At 36.5% G+C, this 20,443-nt stretch overlaps 1 protein-coding gene and 1 long non-coding RNA gene across 2 annotated transcripts in view; both read right to left on the reverse strand.

The window, feature by feature from the left end:
* Positions 1-3,660, reverse strand: part of NALF1-IT1 (NALF1 intronic transcript 1) — a 48,098-nt gene extending 44,438 nt beyond the window's left edge. Inside the window, exon 1 of the long non-coding RNA NR_046848.1 lies at positions 3,604-3,660. This is a non-coding gene — a long non-coding RNA (NALF1 intronic transcript 1). The remainder of the gene's footprint in view (positions 1-3,603) is intronic.
* NALF1 (NALCN channel auxiliary factor 1) overlaps positions 1-20,443 on the reverse strand; it is a 703,987-nt gene that overhangs the window by 668,289 nt on the left and 15,255 nt on the right. The gene's annotated exons all lie outside the window — the stretch shown is intronic.

A 20,443-nucleotide genomic window follows, 5' to 3' on the forward strand; every position in this document is an offset into this window, starting at 1 on the left:
CTCTGCCCAGACAGAGAACTTTCTAACATATTTCAAAATATTCCAGAGTTTAGCTTCGGTTTAAATTCATTTGATAATAATGCAAAAATTCAACATTCTTTTAGTTTGTAAAGACAGTTAATTTTAAGGAAGATGGGAATTCAAAAATCGCATTTCAATTGTTTGAGGAAAAAAATTTTTCATAATTTGTGGACATCATTAAAATAAAGTCTAATGATTTCATGAAGTCCATATTGTCCTTCCATTTAGAACTACACATTTTGTGATTATCTTTTAAACTATTATATCTGGTACTGAAACCAAAACTGTGACATGAACTGAACCTACAAGTAAATTTTCCAAGCACTTTATCCTAAATATTAAACTAAGATTTTAGAAATAATGATGGATATTCAATCCTATTATTCTACCTTCAAGCTGATAATTAACATGTTATCATTAATATAATATTTATTATATTTAATCCATTCTATTTAAGTAAAAAAGATATTATATATCATTCATAGGCAAAAATGTTTTAAAATATTGCTTACTTCAGCTTTATCTCATCTTATGTAAATATTTTGTATATATACTGAATGTGCATAAATATATACATGCACATTAGTGCTAATGTATTTATATATACATAATATAGCAATAAAATATTCATATTTGGGGTATATAATGAAGATTTGCTAACCCCAGTTGGATCCCACAAGCACCTCAAATCTAATATGTACAAAACTGAACTCCACACCATCACCCTTCAAAAACTTGTTTGTCTGCCTCTCCCGTCTTACGAAATGATACCACCTGCTGCTCACTTGCCTACATTGGAAGGGTCAGGGTCCTTCGCAACTCCTCGTTCTTCCTTTCATTAACATCCATAGAGTCCTGTCCATTGTGGCAGCCAGAAGCCTTTGTCCTCTTCCTTCAACCCTTACAGGCCCCATCTGGTGTGGCTTCTGCTCTCCTCTGTCTCGCTAATTACAAGAATCTCCTAAGTGACCTTCCTTCCTACAGTGCTGCTGTCTCCTGACCCCCAGTTCAAGCCGCAGAAGACTGATCTTTCAAAAACAACAAATCATAGGCTGCATCTTCTTAAGAGCGCTCAGTAGTTTCCCAATGCCCTTGGATACACTCCAATCTCTTCTTCTTCAGCAGCACAGCGCCTGCTGGCATCTGTAGCCTCCCCTCCCTCACACTCTACCATGGAGCTAGTCAGCACTTTTTCCATTCTTCCTGTGGCCCCTGGCCTCTCTGGTGCTCCACGCACATGCCCCATCTCCTAGCTAATGGTACCCGCCCTGCAGTTTTCTGTGCAGAGGGCCCTCGCTAAGTGAAGCCCTCTCAGATGGTCCCTGCGCCTCCTTTAGCATACCACTTTGAACATACGAAGACACGTCTGATGAATAATTTGAACTGCTTCCGGAACAAGAACAAGGTCTACATTGCTCACCAGGGTAGACTTGGTGACTTGCACAGTGTCTTACCTATACCACACCTTTCCTTAATTGATATGTATTGAATACACATATGAATACTACTGGTATGATTTTACACTCGGTTCAAAATAAGCTCTCTGTTGTCCAATGTGCATTCATGGGATGAAAGTCACCTCCTCTTTTCTTTCTCCATCTATAGGATTATTTTTGGAAAACTATTCCTGCTAGCTGTCTTACACTGTTACTTCTAGCTCTTAAAACAGATCTTCTACATTCAAATCTCCCTATCATGAAGTACCAAATATATTTACTTTCTTGGGTGCCATGTTTAAATGTATTTTTTACTCATGTTCAATGATCATCATCCCCCTTCTCAATCCTTTCCATTACAAAGGTGTCAAAAACAAGATACTTGACATACGAAAGCAATGGGGAAACAGATTAAATCATGAGTCAAAAACTTCTCAACCAATTAGTTAAAATGTTGAAAGAAAGGACAAGCTTTCTGACCACCTGTTACCTAAGGCCATGATAATGCTTCTCATGTAAAGGTATTATTCCATAACATCCTTTTACTTTTTTTCTAATAATAGTATTTTAATTTCCAGTATTTTGCATATTATCTTAATTATATTAAAGTACCTTAAAGCTGTTTTTTTAATTTTTAATAATGCCATTCACTAATATATAAATTTGTAAAACTATGGAAACTTTGAGGAAGAAATTTCAAACTTAATATGGTTGGCCCTCCATATCTACAGGTTCTGTACCCATGGATTCAACTGAGGATCGAAAATATAAAAATAATAATGATAGTAATCATAATAATAAATAACAATATGACAATAAGAATTAAACACCAATTTTAAAAATACAGCCTAATTACTAGTTATATAGCATTTGCTTTGTATTCGGTATTATGAGTAATCTAGAGATGATTTAATGTACATGGGAGAACATGCATAGGTTAGATGCAAATACTATGCCATGTTAAATATGGGATGTGAGCATCTACAGATTTTGGTGTCCATGGGGATCCTGGAACCCAATCCCTCTCAAATACCAAGGGACAACTGTGGTCAATTAGACCACTTAGGACAACTGTGGTCAATTAGACCACTTCTGCATTACATTTGAGCCAGAGAGCAAGAGACTGAATTTTTAACGTTTTTTATAACTGCACAGCTCTTACCATCAATGTCAAGAGTATGGGGAAAAAATGAATGAATCATGCCTTTATTTATCAGCCAAGCTGTGAGAGAGTAGTCATCAGAGTACTGGTCCAACAAGGTTGGCAATTAATGATGCAATAAAGGGTAAACAATTAACTAGTGTAATTAAAAAGATTCTGAATCTCATGTCTAAATGTTACCCCAGACAGCTGGATCATTTGCCTGGAGAAAAATTTACTGTGATTTTTTTACAAGAAAAAATAGACTCAATTTTCATTTTCATATTCCCTGTTTAGATGATAAAGAACGTTCTCCAGAAAATATACATTAAGATATTTCAACTCTGCTAAGGTATGGTATGCAATTTAATTTTGAATATTCTGTCAAAACATTGTTCATCTGTAGCATTGCTTTCCTAACTGTGGGACGATAATTTCCTGTGTAACAAATTCCTCAGAAAGGTTCCTAAGGAAACGAGGCAAGAACACCAAACTAATTCCAGGTTTAACATGACAGCAAATGGCACAGAGGAGGGAAGGGAAAGCTCACTCACGGGAGACACGTCATAAATGACAGCCTCTAAAGACTGACTGTGGAATAAGGCAGCTGTCACATATACACTAGCATTAATACTTGCCTTTCTCTTCTGTTTCATCCTTTTGAGAAAATATGCAATCACGTATTGTCCATGATGTTCTAATATAGGGTTAGTTATATTTTTCTTTTGATGTAGCACGATATTTATTTACAAGATGGTTGTAAGGATATAGTGTCTTCAGGGTTAAAAACAGAGGTACCAGGAGCCTAGAAGAGCATGGATTCACACATAAACTGGAACAACAGATTTTTCCTTTCTTTCCTTAGATACCAGAAGATTAAAAAGCCTTACAATGTGTGTACTGTCCTCCATATCTCCCCTTCCCCAAATGGTGGAAGGATCGATTTGCCTCTCTCTTGGCTCCTAACTCTCACAGACAAGGCTCTTACAAGACAGCATGACTTACCTTCACTAATAAAAGAGCCATCAGTCTACCAGCCACTCCTCTGAAAGCAGGAGGAATAAACCTCCTTTTAGGGACTGCCCCTTTCCTCAGCTGGTCCTGTCCTGAGAATGAGGAAGTGAGGGCTTTTGTCACTTGAGGCTTTTTTGTCACCTATTATGAGGCAATAGAAAATACAAAACTACACAGTTAGGTATTCAAGTGAGCTTAGGGGCAGGCACAAGACCCACACACACACCGGTGACTCAGGGCTTAGTTAGTTAATAACCACATTTCTGAAGTATATTAATAATAATATTCAAGCAATAGTGACAGGAAATGTGTGAAGTGACAATATTAACTCAAAGAGCTAGCATCCCTGAGGCTTACTCTGTGCCAGGCTGGGGGTTTCGCATTCTTATTTTACTCATCACAGAAACCCTCTGGAACATGCACTCTGTGGTTACCATCTTATAGATGAGGATCGGGGTGAGAGAAGATTAATACATTCCCCACAGTCTAGATCATCAGGAGAACCAACAAATCTTGGGCAAGGACCCAGGAAGCAGAAGCAGAAGCAGCACAGAGCCGGTCTGCTTTTTTGTAGTTGTTGTTTTTGTTTTTTTCTTTTTGAGACAGGGTCTTGCTCTGTTGCCCACATTGGAGTGCAATGATGCGATCATACCTCAATGCAACCTCTGCCTCCTGACTCAAGCGATCCTCCCACCTCAGCCTCCTGAGTAGCTGAGACTACAGGTGCACATCACCATGCTCGACTAATTTTTGTAATTTTTGTAGAGATGGGGTTTCATCATGTTTCCCAGGCTGATCTCAAACTCCTGGACTCAAGCAATCTGCCCCCCTTGGCATCCTAAAGTTCTGAGATTACAGGTATGAGCCACCATGCCTGGCCTAGTCTGACTTTAAACATAATACACAGGTGATTTTATATAAGTTTTAGGAAGCACTTTGCTTTCAAAGCTGTCTTAAATAATTTTTGTGTTTGATACAAAAGGCACTTAGGAGAGAATAGTAAGCCTTGAAATTAAGATCGTTAAACATTAACATTCTGTAGGTATTATTTTGCTAAATATTTCAATATCATTAAAAATGAGGAATTTCTCACTGAAAAAAATGGATTAGCCCTTCTGCTCATGAGATGGGATTTTTTTAATTTTATAAAAAAATAAAATTTAATTAGGAAAATGGAAATATTTTGTAACACAAGGAAGAAAAGCAGAATCCAATAATATTCTGAGTTAAGTATTATTGTGTATATGAAGGGTACTTAACAGTATTTTTCTAGCTATGAAAGTCCTCGCCTGATTTCAAAATATCCTTTAAAATATTCACTAGCCAAGTGACCTCAGGTGAGTCTCTCTAATTTGTTGCTGAGATAATTTAAGTGAAAATCTTTGGAAATGGCGAAGCTCTTTATGAATGTCACTAACATTAGGTGATGTTATTCACAGCCCTTATAAGCCCATCAATCTCAACTTAGCATTTACGTGACGAACAATGGGAGGCAGATAGGATGACACTAACGGGAAGAATTCTCCCCAGTTCAAGTTCTGATTTACTGAATGGAAAATATATCTGGGCAAGGACAACTCTTAATCACAGTAAAGGGCCTTTTCTTGCTTTAGAATGAAAAGAACATAGTCCTTTTCTGCTACGATCTCTTTAATCCATGATAGAGCTTGGATGCATGTTCATACGGGCATGCTTTCCACCAGCTACCGGTTACATGCAACAAAATTTGAAATGTCTCAGAAATGTGTCCCCTAGCCCCCTTTAAACAGGAAGAGCAAACTGATTTACAAATGCAGGATGCTCTATACAGTGTAACCAATTACAGGAAAAAGAAAATATTGTAGTTGAAAAGGAAAAATAAAAACATTCAATTTCATTTTAATGTATTGTTAAGGAAAAGGAATGCATAGCAGTGCATCTCAGATGTTATTATGCTTGGGCATCCCCTCCAGAGCCTATTGAACCATAGATTCTGATTCATGGGATGGCGTTGGGTCTCAGAGTGAAAAAGACAATTCCATTTCTTGACATCAGTGGTCCTTTTCATTCATACCACCTCCCACTATCAGATGAACTGCTAGAATTTTCCTTACGCATCTACCTGTTACATGGATTTGGGGTGAGTTCTGTAAGTACAGAGGACATAATGCACAATGGTCCTGAAAAGAGAGGGGAGATGCTGAGAACACAGGGAAATATCAAAGCTTGAGTGACACAAATAACCTGAAATCATCTGGGGAGGGTTTTGGGACCCCGGATGCCCCACCAGCTGCGCAGACTCCCAGGAGTCAGCGTGACATCTGCTTTCTCTCCTCCCCTGCAGCACTTCACAGAGCCACCCGGGTGTGAGAAAAGACATTTGACGAGGATGATGAATGAAAATGATACTTTACCAGTTCTTTCTGCAAAAAAGCCTGAAATACTCTAAGATCATTTGATGGAGGTTTCCCTGTGAGAAAGCAATCATAACTGACTTACAAGGGATCCTCCATCAATACAGTATACAGATTAAAAAAAAACACGGTAAAAAAACTCATCATAGAACCATAAGGCTTCAGAAATGCACTATGGTTTTATATTTTTCTTAATTAGGTGCTCGAAATGTGAGTAAAAGCGACTACGACTTCTGTTCAGACTGAACTTCCAAATGCTGGAAGCACGGTAAACTCGGCACAAGAAGTACTTGTGAAGGAATGGGCTTCTAAAGAGCCTGCCATGGACCCTTTCCACATCTACTAAGAAGTTTTGGCATTATACCATAGGCCCTCTGAATGTAGCCAGAAACAAACAAACAAACAAAAAGCCAGCATCATCGGCACCTGGGGGATTGTCAGAAAAGCACCCTCAGACCCAACTCCATCCTATGAATCAGAGTCTACAGTTCAGCAGGGTCCCAAGGGGATGCTCAAAAACAATAACATCTGAAATGCACCGCTATGCATTCCTTTTCCTTAAGAATAAATTAAAATCAAATTGAGTGTTTTGATTTTTCCTTTTCAGTTGCAGTATTCTTTTTCCTGTAATCGCTTACACTATATAAAGCACCATGCATTTGGAAATCAGTTTGCTTTACCTACTTAAAGGAGACTGGAGATCACATTTTAAGGCATTTCAAATTGTGTCGTACGTAACAGGTAACTGGCAGGAGGCATGCGTGTATGAACATGCATCCAGGCTATATCAGAGATTAAAGAGATCTTAGCAGAAACAATGGTGATAGCAAGAGTTGAAAAGTGCTTTAGAGATCTGTTTTATTCAAGCTATCATTTAAATTCATGCCAAACACACCTCCACCCTAGTCTTTCCCTCCAGTGATCTCACTTGGTTTAAAAAAAATACATGCTGTTGGAGGTTCCAGTTACTCCCTGAGCAGGTGGGAGGATGGCGCAGAGCTCTTCAATCACTCATCTGCAGAGTTCGGGGATGTTTTGAGTATGAAAGTCATTATACGACAACAAATCCTCTTCTATCACATTTCACTTGTGAGTAATTATTGTGTTCTAGCAAGTGGAGGATTAACAGTTCTTCTTCACAGTAAGAGAGAGCACAGCAGGTGCTTCCCCCTCACCTGCAGGGGCCTCTCTTTGGTTGCAAAATTCTGCCTGTGTTTGAGTCCATATCTTGCCCTCTCAGACAGTGAGGATACATGGTGACCTCCTCCACCCTGAATTAAACTAATAATTTCTATCTTCCTAGAAAAAAATATATTTGCTATGTAACAAGACTAGGGGTAAGGGGCTGACATTTAGTTGGCCTACCGAGTTTAGTGCTTAGTTTAATTCTAATGAATGCCATGCAGATGAAGCCATCTTCCTGCTCCTATTCCAGTCACACCATGTAAAATCGTAGGTGTTATTTAAGCAGTGTCCTAACATCTTCACTTTATCCTTCTTCCAGTCCATCTTTCAGACTCCAATCTTTTATCACCTACCTAAAATCCCAGTTTCCTCATCTAGTATGCTTCTGCTTCCAATTTAAATCACTTATTATTTTATATACAGATAAAGTCTAAGCTCTATAGCTTATCATGAGAGGATCTCCTTTATAAGAAATGCTAGTTATTTCATATTGTTTGCTGTTGCCAGGCATTGTACAAGCACATTCCATACATTAATGCAATCCACTGTCTGATATAAGTTCAATTATTCCCCACCTGTGAGGAAATTAAAGGAGAGAAAGTTCAAGAAACTTGCCCGATGACACACAGTGAGAAAGCAGCAGAGTATGACCCCAATCCTGGGTTTAGAGTGGGGAAAATGTGGTCCTGCATAAGAAAAAAAAACTCTTAAGTATTATTTAATTTTTAAATAAAGAGATATTTTTGACCCATAAAACATTTGGGAGACAAGGAATAAAGTGGAAAAAGTAAATTAAAATAGTGAAATACCACTTTTTATGTCTTGTATGGAACTTAGACTACTCTGTGAATAATTTCAACTGGTGAAATAGCATAGTCTACAATATTCAGTTTGCACTTAAACTTGTATCTCCTTCCCTTTAATATATAAAAACAAGTCACAAACACAAATATTCTACAAATGCATATATACCATGGACTTGCAATGCTCTTATGTAGACAAAGGGAGATCTACAAGTTGATCCTATACATACCCTAAGATCTAAATATAAAAGAAACTAAAAGAAGTCAACACAGTTGATAAAACCCTTTAGCAATGCCACTGCGATATGTATTTCCAGTCATTTCTTCACGCATTCAATCACTCATTCTTTAGTCAGTTAAATGCAGTCGGCTGTGTACCTAACTCTATACATGCAACTATACGAATAGGAAAGAAACAGAGGATTGAGTCTTTGGGACTGGAAACTGCAGAAGGATTGTGATCTATTTGAAGAGTATGTAGGTCAGGGTTATTGTTAGCTACATATAACAACAAAATCCCCAAAAATAGTGGCTGCAAGCAAACAGTTTATTTCTTGCATTTTAAAAGTGGCAGTAGGTGGTCCATATTGGTTTAGGAGACCCAGATATTCATCAGGTCCCCTGGAAATTGTACCAATCTTATAACATGACCTTCCTGGTCAAGGTTCAAGGTGTCTGCTGGAGCTCCTGAACATTACACTTGCATTTCAGGTGGCAAAATGGAGTGATAAAAGGAAAAGGAATGTGCCTTCCATTTAAGATGATCCCCCTAAAGGATTACACCAAATGCACACAGACATTCAGTGTACTTGGTCTCACTGACACATGCAGCTGCAAATTAGTTTCGGATACTCGGGTTCTATTCCTCGACAGTGAAGAGAGAATGTCTATTGGGAAGCAGTTGTCAGTCTCTCATACATGGAGACAAAAGAACTGGACCAAAACCAACTTGAAAAGGTTTTCAGTACATCAAACCCATCAGACACAGTAAGCTCCTTCCACAACACACCCTGGTCTTTCTAGTCTCTGGGTTTTTGTTCTCGGTATTCTGTCTACCCAGACTGCCCTTTTTTCCTTCATATGTTAAGATTCTACTCATCTTTATTATTTGATTTAAAAGCTACTTCCTAACTGAAATCTTTCCTAATCCTTCCTTGCTGAACTTGACCTTTCCTAGTGATCCCTAGCATCCTGGCTTGGAAAATAAATCATTTTAAACAACTCTATTTCTCTAATTATATTATATGCTCTTGAGGGGCAGGGGTCATCATCCATGTATTCACTCATTTACTCAACAAAAGTGAATTGCACAACTATTATGGCCACCTCCATCCCATGTTTTGTATATACAAGATATTTTTTAAAATTTGTTAAATCATGCAATTACACTTATGCATATTTGAAATAAAATTTTAACAGCATTCTAGGTTTTACAGACCAGTGAGGAGTCAAGGCAATCAGGGATCATCTGGGCTTCCATCTGTCACTGCCCAAACTACTGGCTAAAGAGCTTGCATGAAGAGACAGCCCTCTCGCTATGTGTGCCTTCAAGGTACCATCCTAAAAGGGACAGAGCTGGTCAAAGACAAAGATGATTATTTGGCACATTTGATGACATGAAGAAGTGCTCTTCAAGGGTATTTTGCTTTAAGTAGAAAAAATTCATATTAAAATGTTTGAGGGGAAAAAAGGGGGAAATCCCCACCACTGGAATAATGTAAATAAATATTATAAGTCATGGATGTTTACTCCTGTTTAGTAGGTCTAGGTTCTTCCCAGAGATAGTTACTCTGGGCTTTTATTGCCCATACAAAAGAGAAATGCAAAAGAAATGCTGGAATATCCTTAAAAAAAAAAAAACATAAGAAGTTTTCAATTGTTTGTTTGACTTTGTTTTGTTTTATTTTGTTTTAACAAATCACATTTCACAAAGACTGTTTTTTACACTGCCGTAGGGAAAGCATATTGTTTAAATAAGTTATGAAAAAGAAGTCAAAATGTACGCCTTTTTTTATAATATTTCCTGCATACTTGAAGTATCACTGAAATCCCAAATATTCTTGCAAAAGAATGCTTTCTGAAAATCATACGGAGAAATATGCATCTATATATAATTACTATTATTTTAGAAATAGACAATATGTAGATAAAATATTAATGAGTAGCCACATATTAAAAATAAAAATATGCTCATATCTGCTTATATTTAAGAACTCTTTTAAATTTATTACTTGAAGTATCATATTCATTTATACATAATAAATTTTTAAAATTTGATTCCATTTAGAACATTTTAGCCAATTTAACCTCGATGTGTATAATAAGGTAAAACAAGCAATTGATTATTTTATTTCTTTAAAATACCTGATATATCATTGATATAAACATGGCCCAAAATCCATATACTCACAGATATCAGAGTTGAAAAAAAATTTTTTAGATGTTTCATCATTTATATGTATGAAAATGAAGTATGCCTATTTTATAGATGAAACAATCAAAACTGAGAGAAATCAAATTATTTGTGCAAGATAACAAAGAAATAGTGTGTTTATTACAGAAATTTAGTATATTGCCTTTAAGAACTCCTTCAGTAATGGCTATGATTATAATACAAAATTACAATTGCTTTCAAAATCAAATGTAAAGATTAAAAGTAAATTACCTAAAAAGGTTAAGGGTATAAATTTGTACATTAACCAACAAGTAACAGTTTTTGTGGTAAAGTATCTTTAGAGTTTTTTTTTTATTTTAGTGTCTCAAATTGTAGTGGACATAAGTCCCTCACAATGCCTTATAAAAGAGTTTTATATTTAAATAAGCTTGGAGATTCAAAAGCACATGATATACAAAAGAATGGCCTTTATGGCAGGTCTACAAAAGTAGACCTGCCATAAAGAAAGTAATTAACTTTTTTTAAAAGCTAATAAATCTCTGACAAACGAGCAAAAATTCCTTTATCTTTCATCAGCTCTCAACTTCCTAGGTTATTAGTCATTCCTCAGCACACTCTTTGGAAAAACTTGAGAGTGATTTAATCCATCTTGGCAAATCTCTGGGAAGAAGACATCTGCCGGTGTGATATTTCTGTCTGGCTTCTTATTTAGGTAACACTAGGATACGGCCCCCTTCCCCAAGAAACTGATGTGTTCTCCTCAATAAGAGGATCATCCAGATGTTCCCCAAGCCATAGAAGCACTCAGGCTCCATGGGTCATGTGCATATTATCCAGGCCACTGATACCTGCCTAGGCAGTAGAAATACATTTAACATTTAGATAACAATGGCCAGCAGACCATTAATGAAGACTCATGGTGGGCTGCTGTGTTTTACATGCAAAGCATATTTTATTTATCTAACAAACACTTCTATGATACTTAAAATGCTCCAGATAGTATTCTAAGCGTTTTATTTATCTGAATTTATTTAATCTATACAACAATGCCAAGAGGTAGATGCTATTATTGTCATAACAGAATGAAGCAACTGAGTATCAGAAAAGTTAAGGAAATAGCGTGAAGTCACACAGCTTTTAAATTGCAGGGATGAAGTTTGAGGCTAGACATTCTGACTGCATATAGTTCACGCTCCACTTAGAGAATCATCCACATTCTCTGCTGCTCTAGAAAGGAAATGCTAAAAGGACCTCCTCGAATCTCCCTTTGTCAATGGTCAAGTCTTCCTGCTATCACTTGTAACACATCATGACCTGGAAACTTATCTGCAATGCAGATGCTCAGCCCCACCCCAGACCTGAAGAATCAGGCTTAGCATTTTCGCAAGATCCCCAAGTGCTTCCCCTGGTAAAAGTAAATGAAATTTACTGGGAGATGAACCTAATCACTCCAATTTCTTATTTCAGCTTTGTTTTCCAGCAGATACACCCTAAAACTTCTGAAGTGCACATGGATGACCTCTTTACTGCCTTCCCTGGTATGGAGGCCAGAATGACCAAAAATCAGTGAAAGAAAGAAGAGCCAGTAGAAACATAAGCCATCTGCGAATGGAATCAGACCAAAAAATAAATTGAGAATAAACTTAACAGCATTTTAAAGATGTTTGGAGAGAAACGAAATGTTAGCTAATGATAAAAAATTATATTGTGTAACATAGACGTTGCCCCTAATAGCAAATGCTATTGCTTCCAAAAAGATACAGTGTTGCAAAAGTAGGTTTCATTGAGTTATTTCCACTCAGTACTGAAGCATCAAAAAATGCTTAGTCTTTACTTTCTGCATAATTAAATCTTTTATGAATCAGTTAATAATGGACATTAATACTCACTCTTCTCTTACCCAATCTCTAAAGAAACCTCTTTTTTGAAGGGTTCTAAAAATAGTTGATTAGGGTAATTAGAATAACTTAACATTCCCTTTCCTAATGTTTATTACTAGAAATAAAGACAGTCTGTTGAGTAGCAAGTTGTTTGTAGCCACAAATAAAATACAGATAAGAAAATCTAAAAAAATCAAACTATACAAGAGAATCTTATGAAACAACCAGAAGAAAACTAATAATAAAAAACACAAATTTAAACTGAAAAGCTGTCATTATGTCAGGGTTCTTTTATATTTTTGCAAGATACTAATAAGAATTTGAAAATTCATTATTATGTAGGTCATTCTTAAGATATACTTCAATGAAGTTTTAAGGAACAAAATGCTTTACCTTTGGATTCAGTTTTATTAAAAGAATATTCCACAATAAGTATAACTGAATTCAATATTCAGTAGTTCTTGCTACAGACTAGCTCTTCACAGTTAATCTTTTTATTCATCACAAACCATTAAAATAACTTCAGTCCCTTAATAAAGCTAATCATAATATAGTAATTGTATGAATCATCCTTTGATTTGAAGAAATCCAACAACCGATAGTTTGACAATGGAATGAATACATTTTCAAATGAAGAGATGGATTTGTTTAAATTACTTTTTCCCTAGTTCAAACAAGATTTTGACATTGTGATCCAGCATGACTTTAAGAACCACACAGAAAAAGACCATAGCTAAACTGTGCCTAATTTCCTCAAGAGCATGACCTTAGGGATAGGCGTTTCTGAGAGTCAAAGCAGGCCTGGATACCCAACAGTTGGTTCTTTCCTTTTTCATGTTTATGATACTAAAACTAAATTTTTCCAAGTCAAATATATCAATTTAACAAACATTTAATGAATACTTAGGTATCAGATATAATGCAAGAATAAATAAGATTTAGAGTTTTGGAAATTTACAACAGCACATTAATTCTAAGTCAGCAATTACGCATAGGAAAAAGGCACACTATACACATAGCTTAATAGTTCAAAATATCTGGGAATATGGTGATTTCATTTATGGCAAAGAAAATTCCAGAAAGATTTTTTAAATTCTTAATTTTGGTTGAATGCACTAATTTCTTTTGTCATTTTGGCATGACCCAAGTCCAGATGAAAGATTGCTAATTCCATTGTCTCCATCAAACATCAGTGTAATGCTATTAGGCGGCATAAGCTTGAAATCCTTTTCCAAGTGGTGATGATGTATTTGTAGTGATCCATTTACACTTCCTGAAACAATCAGAATGTCCAGTGTGTGCTGTGGAATGAGTCTACCTGATGATAAGGAATAGGTGGATGTTGAGGTGGGCAGGGTAATGGTGAACCTCAGCCTTAGTCAGCTTGCCCAATGCCCTAACACGATTCACTCCTTCTCCACAAAATCCATACCAGTCACTCAGTGAGCATGAATCCAGAATCTGAAACATTATCCCCACACTGTGTCTTCCATTTTCAATACAAAGCATTCTATCTTTCTCCACTTATTTGGATAACTTTAACTCATGAAACCATAGTCATATAGAGATAATGCAATTGAGAATAATCTCTCAGATCTCGGGATCCTTTAACCCCTAGGCTTTTTGGGAGAAGACTCCAAAATATTGCTAAACACATACCTCCATGCTAACTTCCCCACTCTCTTTTAAACTACTGACATTTTAAAATTACAAGTGAACAAAGTCTCATCCATCAGCTCTATCAGTTTTAGCACCATAATACTACCCAAAAGAATGCCACTACTAAAGAATTATTTGTAACTCTTTCCTGAGAAAGGACAGCTTGAAACCTGGAAGATAATGGTAGAGTTGAATATAATTCAAATTCATGTACCTAAATATAATTCAAATACATATGAATATATATATTAGAGTATACAGCAAAAAAAATAGTACCAATCATAAGCAAAGCCCTGAAATGTACAAATCTATCTTCTTTGAGCCCAGGTTCTCTGCATTTTGCCCTTATCCCCTGGTAGATTGTATCACTGCTTGTCACACATTCCAGGTCCCTCCCTGCTCCATTGAACACAGGAGTGGTGACTTGACTTGCTTCAGTCAGTGAAAGGTAGCTGCAAGCGTCCTGTATCACTTTTGAGCTAGATTTTTCAAAAACAGAGTATGGCCCTGTGTCTTTTTTCTTCCGCCATGAAACCCACCATGTTCTAGATAGAGACTGTTCTGTCAGACGGGAGTCTGGAATGAAAATGTATACAGAGGCACTGCTGAACCACAAAAGGCATAGAATGTTAGCAAGAAAGAAACCTTTAGCAGAAATTGTTGTAAGCCAGGAATATTTGGGGAATGTTCATTAGTCAGGGAAACTTCGTCTATCCTGATTGATAGACCCACCTGCCTTTCCAGCCTGCCTCAGTACTCCCATTCCTACCCCACTCTCCCTAGCAAAACCATACAGTAAACAAAATGTGGGAAAATCTTACTTTAAAGTAAATGTGTAATGAGGATAGGCATGTAGAATCTATGCTTTAATGAGGATCAAGGACTAAAGACAAAAGATGCATCTCCTAGAAGAATTAGAAGAATATCTAGCATTCCAGAGTTGGTGAAAAGAAATAAATCTGCTAGTAGGGTCAGAATAGCTGAGGAGGAGTTTCCAGACTTCTATTCATAAAAGGCAGTTGTCCTAAAGTGCCTTCGTGTTTATTTCAAATCCCATTGCTGAAACCTTTAATCTGGATTTAGCCTTATGGGCAGCATTTCAGACAAATGAGATTTAGACAGATGACTAAATAGGCATATATGATTACTGCAATGGCCTAAGTAAGTCAATCTAATTATGAGAGTTCTAAGTCACCACTTAGAAACTACAGGTTCCAAAGATTTATTAATTTGCTCCAAAATACATTTTTAGGAAACAGACTTCTAAAGCAATTATATAACATTTATTATTCTATAATGACAGCAAATTTCTTAAATTAAAAAAAATTAAAGGCAAACTTTAGAGTTGATTTTATACATTGTTTTGGGGAAAAAAAGAAAACTTGAACATGACCTTTTTTTATTTCATTAATTAAAACTAAATTTTCCTTATGCAGAATAATGCCTAATAAAATTTAATTTACCTATTTGCATTTAATAATGGGTGATGGTCTCCTATGTTTACAAATATTTATCAAACATTTCTCTTTGATTTATTGACAAAATCAAACAAAAATAAACATGTATTTTTCCTTAGCTGATTTTACATTATGTGAAATTATCTCTGATCATCTAAAAAATAATGTAACGGATGTGCAAACAGTCTTTAAGGTGGGCCTCTGATTTTTCCTCTTGAAATTCATGGCCTTGTGTCATCACCTCTCCTTGAATGTGGTGAGAACCAGTGAGTTGCTTCTAACAAACAGAATACAGCAAAGGTGAAGAATGTCAGTCTCGTGATGACATTACATAAGATTGAAACATCTGTCTTACTGAGAAACATTCCCCCTTGCTGGCTTTAAAGAAGCCAGCTGCCAGATTGTAAGCTACTTTGGAGAGGGTCACAGGCAAAGAAGTTAGAGACAGCACACAGACAGCGAACAGCTGAGATCCTCAGCTCAACAGCTCGCAGGGAGCAGGATTCAACAACCACGTGAGCTTGGAAGCTGATCTTTCCCTAGCAGAGCCTCAAATAAGACCCCAACCCTGGCTGACACCTTGACTGTAGCTTTGCTGAGGACACAGCTAAGCTGCGTCCACATTTCTGACCCACAGAAAGTGTGAGATAATAAACACGACTTGTTTTAAGTCTCTATATGTGTGAAAATTTGTTACACAGCAATAGATAACTAATGAAATTCTCTACTTTTTTTGCAAAGCAAGAAAAATAAACTGAACCTGCTTCACTTTGATCTAAACTTTAAGAAGAAATCAGATATAATATTATTCCACTTTTGAAATTATCTGTGAAAAATGGCAACCACTCTATTGAATCAAAAGTGTACTCAATCAGTCAGAAAACTAATTCATGCTTTCCTTCAGGATAATTCATTGTTTGCCACTTTCAGCTGTTAGATGATGCCTTTTGTTGCTGATTACAACACAACGAAGTTTCCTTTGGTGGTTTCTACAAACTGTTAACCTTTAACTGTTCCCAAAATATTTCAAACAAATCAAATGAGCAAATTTGCACTAATACTCTTTACAATGTTCAAAAGTATGGTTGGTAGGTACATGATCAAAGAGGGGATGATTTTAATATACGCATGAAAATGTAACTTTTCTCCTAAAGAACGACAGAAACTCTAAGATGGAATGTTTGATGTTATAAATGCAGAGTAAATGATTCAATTTCAAGAGGAATAGTTTACTATGGTTCATTAATTTGAAAACAGCAACCAAACATGATTTCAAGTAACTTTCCCAAATAATGCAGCCTTAAAATTACTTTTCCCTTCAAAATGCAAGCAGCTGTATTTTGATGCTTTAATTATTTGGACAGCTAATTTCCTTGTTACTTGCCACATGTGGACAAACAGTAACACATATGAGTATAATTCAATGAAAAATGCAAAAAGTGATCTATCCTAAATTCCCTAAGCATCCTCTGTGTCTCTCCGTGGCACTTCATGTTCAGCCTCAAACTGTATCTACAACCTGTCCATAGGCAATTACCTTTTGGAAACATAATATTTCTCATAACTCTTCAAATGAAAAATTGTGCAAAATGTCTGACCTGTCATATTTGATACTAAATGATTTAAATGAACAGGCAGGGGAAATTTCTGAAATACCTTCAAGAATCTACTTACCAGCATTACCGACCTGACAGGAAAAGAATTCAGTCAAATACACGAGGCCACATAGGTTTATTTCAATTTTCATTAATTTTACTCAGTGGAACCTCTCACATAATGGAGAATCATTCATCAAAATATTATGGAACACTGTCCACTTATCTATTGCTGCATAACAAACACCCCAAAATGTAGTTTACAACAACACCCATTTTATTGCGTTCTAGAATTTTGGTGGCTCAGGAATTAAGATGTTGTGTAATTAGAGCATAATGATGACCATTAGGGATTTAGCTTCTTCCTCATTTTACTGGTAATACTCTATCTCATTTCATAATGTGAAATAAATACAGAACAATGTTTGGAAAGTGATATTTAAAACATTTGCTGTGAGTGATTTGAATTTTTGGAACTATATGACCTGCCTAGGTGACTTGTCAGAGGTTATAACAACCTTGCTTCTCTGCACATCCTAGGGAAGTTATCTGAATAAGATTGTGTAGTAAAGAAAAATATTGATAGTTCTCTCCTCTAAAGTTTGTAAGACTTTGGGAAGATTTGAAGCGGTCAGTGTGATCTAAATGGCTGGGTGGTAAGTTAATCTGCAAGCTTCACCCACATGTCTGGTGCATGGCCTGGGAAGACATGAAAGCTGGACTCAACCGAGACTGTATGAAGAAGCCTGCCCAAGGCCTCTCTATGAGGCTTGGACTTCCTAGCAGTGTGCTGGCCTTGGGCTAATTGAACATCTTACAGGGCAGCTCAAAGCTTCAAGAATACTTGTCCCAGTAAACAGCATGAAAACTGCATGGCCTTTTATCATCTACCTTGGAAGTCCCAGAACATTATTTCTGCCCTACTCACTCTCAATTGGAGGAGTGTCAAAGAACCTGCCACTGTGTTTCGTAACCACCCACCTGCAAGCTCTCTTCTTTTCCTTTTTTCTTTCTTTTCTTCTTTGCAAGTGATTAGACAAAAATAATCAAGAAACAATGCCTATCTTTAAGAGTACTCTCAAAATCTAACAGGAGAAACAAAGGCACTGGTATATAATTCATTTTATAGCTTTATCATGTAAATTATTCATGTGTTGCTAGAAATTGTCTTCAGGCTAATACTTTTAGTAATTTATTATTTTCTTCCTTTTCAACAATTTGTATGCAACCTTTGAAAATTAAGATTGTTTCTACACCAAGTAATATGACAAAAAATAAATGTAAAATTGTGTTAAAATGCCTTAGTTAAGAATGCTGTGCCCTAGGCCTTAGTTTTCTTATCTGCAAAATGGGATAATTATCAGGCCTACTTCACAGAATGAAATAAATTGGCCCGGCATTATCACTAAGTGCTAATTGTTCACTACCACTACCTACCAGAGGAAGAAATCTTCCCTCCAGCTTAGGCATAATTTTGCTGTCTCTCCACATATCAAATTAAAATAAAAAGATAAAATTTGATTAAATCAATTATATTTAAAAAGACAGAAGAATGTTTTACATCACATACCTTCCCTGTACTTGGGTTGTTGCCTGATATTAAACTGTTTTCAAATCAGATGACAAAAGCAGTCATAGTATTATACTTGTTTATATTGGTTTCTATTATAAGTAATAGACTTTACATGCACACATACACACGAAAAGCCGAATCATGGCCATTAGGGATTCAGTTTCTTCCAGTAACAGCTTCTTCCTTGTTTTACTGGTGATACTCTAACTCATTTCATAATGCGAAATAATACAGAACAATGTTTGGAAAGCGATATTTAAAACATTGGCTGGCCAGGCACGGTGACTCACGCCTATAATCCCAGCACTTTGGGAGGCCAAGGTGGGTGGATTACCTGAGGTCAGGAGTTCAATACCAGCCTGGCCAACATGGTGAAACTCCATCTCTACTAAAAGTACAAAAATTAGCCGAACGTGGTGGCATGTGCCTATAATCCCAGCTACTTGGGAGGCTGAGGCAAGAGAATCACTTGAACCCAGGAGGCAGAGGTTGCAGCGAGCCAAGATAGCACTCCTGCACTCCAGCCTGGATGACAGAGCGAGACTCCATCTCCAAAAAAAAAAGGAAAAGAAAAAGAAAAAGAAAATTGCTGTGAACAATTTGAATTTTTTGAACTATATGACCTGCCTAGGTGATTTGTCGGAGGTTATAACAATCCTGCTTCTCTGCACATCCTAGGGAAGTTATCTGAATAAGATCGTGTAGTGTGTAGTAAAGGAAAATATTGACAGTTTACCCTCATGGTTGAATTAATTTTTCAATTATGTTGTCAAATAGTCACTTTTTCTGTCAAGTGGAATCTTCTCTCTTTCAATGTCGTCTGAATTTTTTACCGGACATGGTAACCTTATAGTATCTTTTCAGTGTCTTCCAATTCATAAACTAGGCAGCAGAATGATATAGTGACATATTTTGCTAACAGCTTCTAATTTGGAAAACAAGTGACATTAGCTTTAAAATTGCACATCTGGAAAAGTTCACAGATGAACAGTTTTTTTTTTTTTTCTTTAAGTGGCCAGATTAAGGAGACACATCCCCACTGCAAGCTATGGAGTGATCACATCACTGTTTATTACTTTTCAAACCCATAATTAGCCATAAAGAAACATGTACAAATAAAATACTGTATTTATATTTCCCATATAAAAGACTCTGTTGTTCAGTCATAAAGTTATCAAACACTATATTTTATAAAATTACTATTTTGTAATTATCTGACTTAGAGCTTACTACATTTTAGAAGAGAAACGACGACCCTTTCTTAAGCAAGGAGAAGGAACAACTGTCAGGTTGAAATTGCTGCACTGTCTTAATTTCAAAGATCTGAGTAAAATCTAATTTTCAGTCACAGGTTGGAAGTGGGACCGTTTGAAAAGGGAAATGTGTTAACTAGAATTTTTAAGTAACAGATTAAGAGCACAATGCTTTTGGATTAAGGGCTTTACAGGCCCTTTCTTTTTTTTTTTTTTTTTTTTTGAGACAAATTCTTGCTCTGTCATGCAGGCTTGAGTGCAGCGGGACAATCATAGCTCACTGCAGCCTCTACCTCCTAAGCCCAAGCAACCCTCCTACCTCAGTCCCCCATGTAGCTTGGACTCAGTGCATGCCACCATGCCCGGCTATTTTTTTTTTTAATTTGGGGGGTGTCATTATGTTGCCCAAGATGGACTTGAACTCCTGGCCTCAAACAATCCTCCTGCCTCAGCCTCCCAAAGTGCTGGGATTACAGGTATGAGCCACCTCACCTGACCCATGCCCTTTAATCTTGTTCTAATTAATGTGCACCTAGAAAAAGAAAAGCAAGTATTCTTCTAGGTTTTCCATTATATTCTTTTCTTCCTTTCCTTTAATAAGCATCGTGTTTATATATAAATGGCTTACATTTTTCCAT

This window comes from Homo sapiens, chromosome 13 (genome assembly GCF_000001405.40).
Source record: "Homo sapiens chromosome 13, GRCh38.p14 Primary Assembly".
In the NCBI taxonomy this organism is placed as follows: Eukaryota; Metazoa; Chordata; class Mammalia; order Primates; family Hominidae; genus Homo; species Homo sapiens.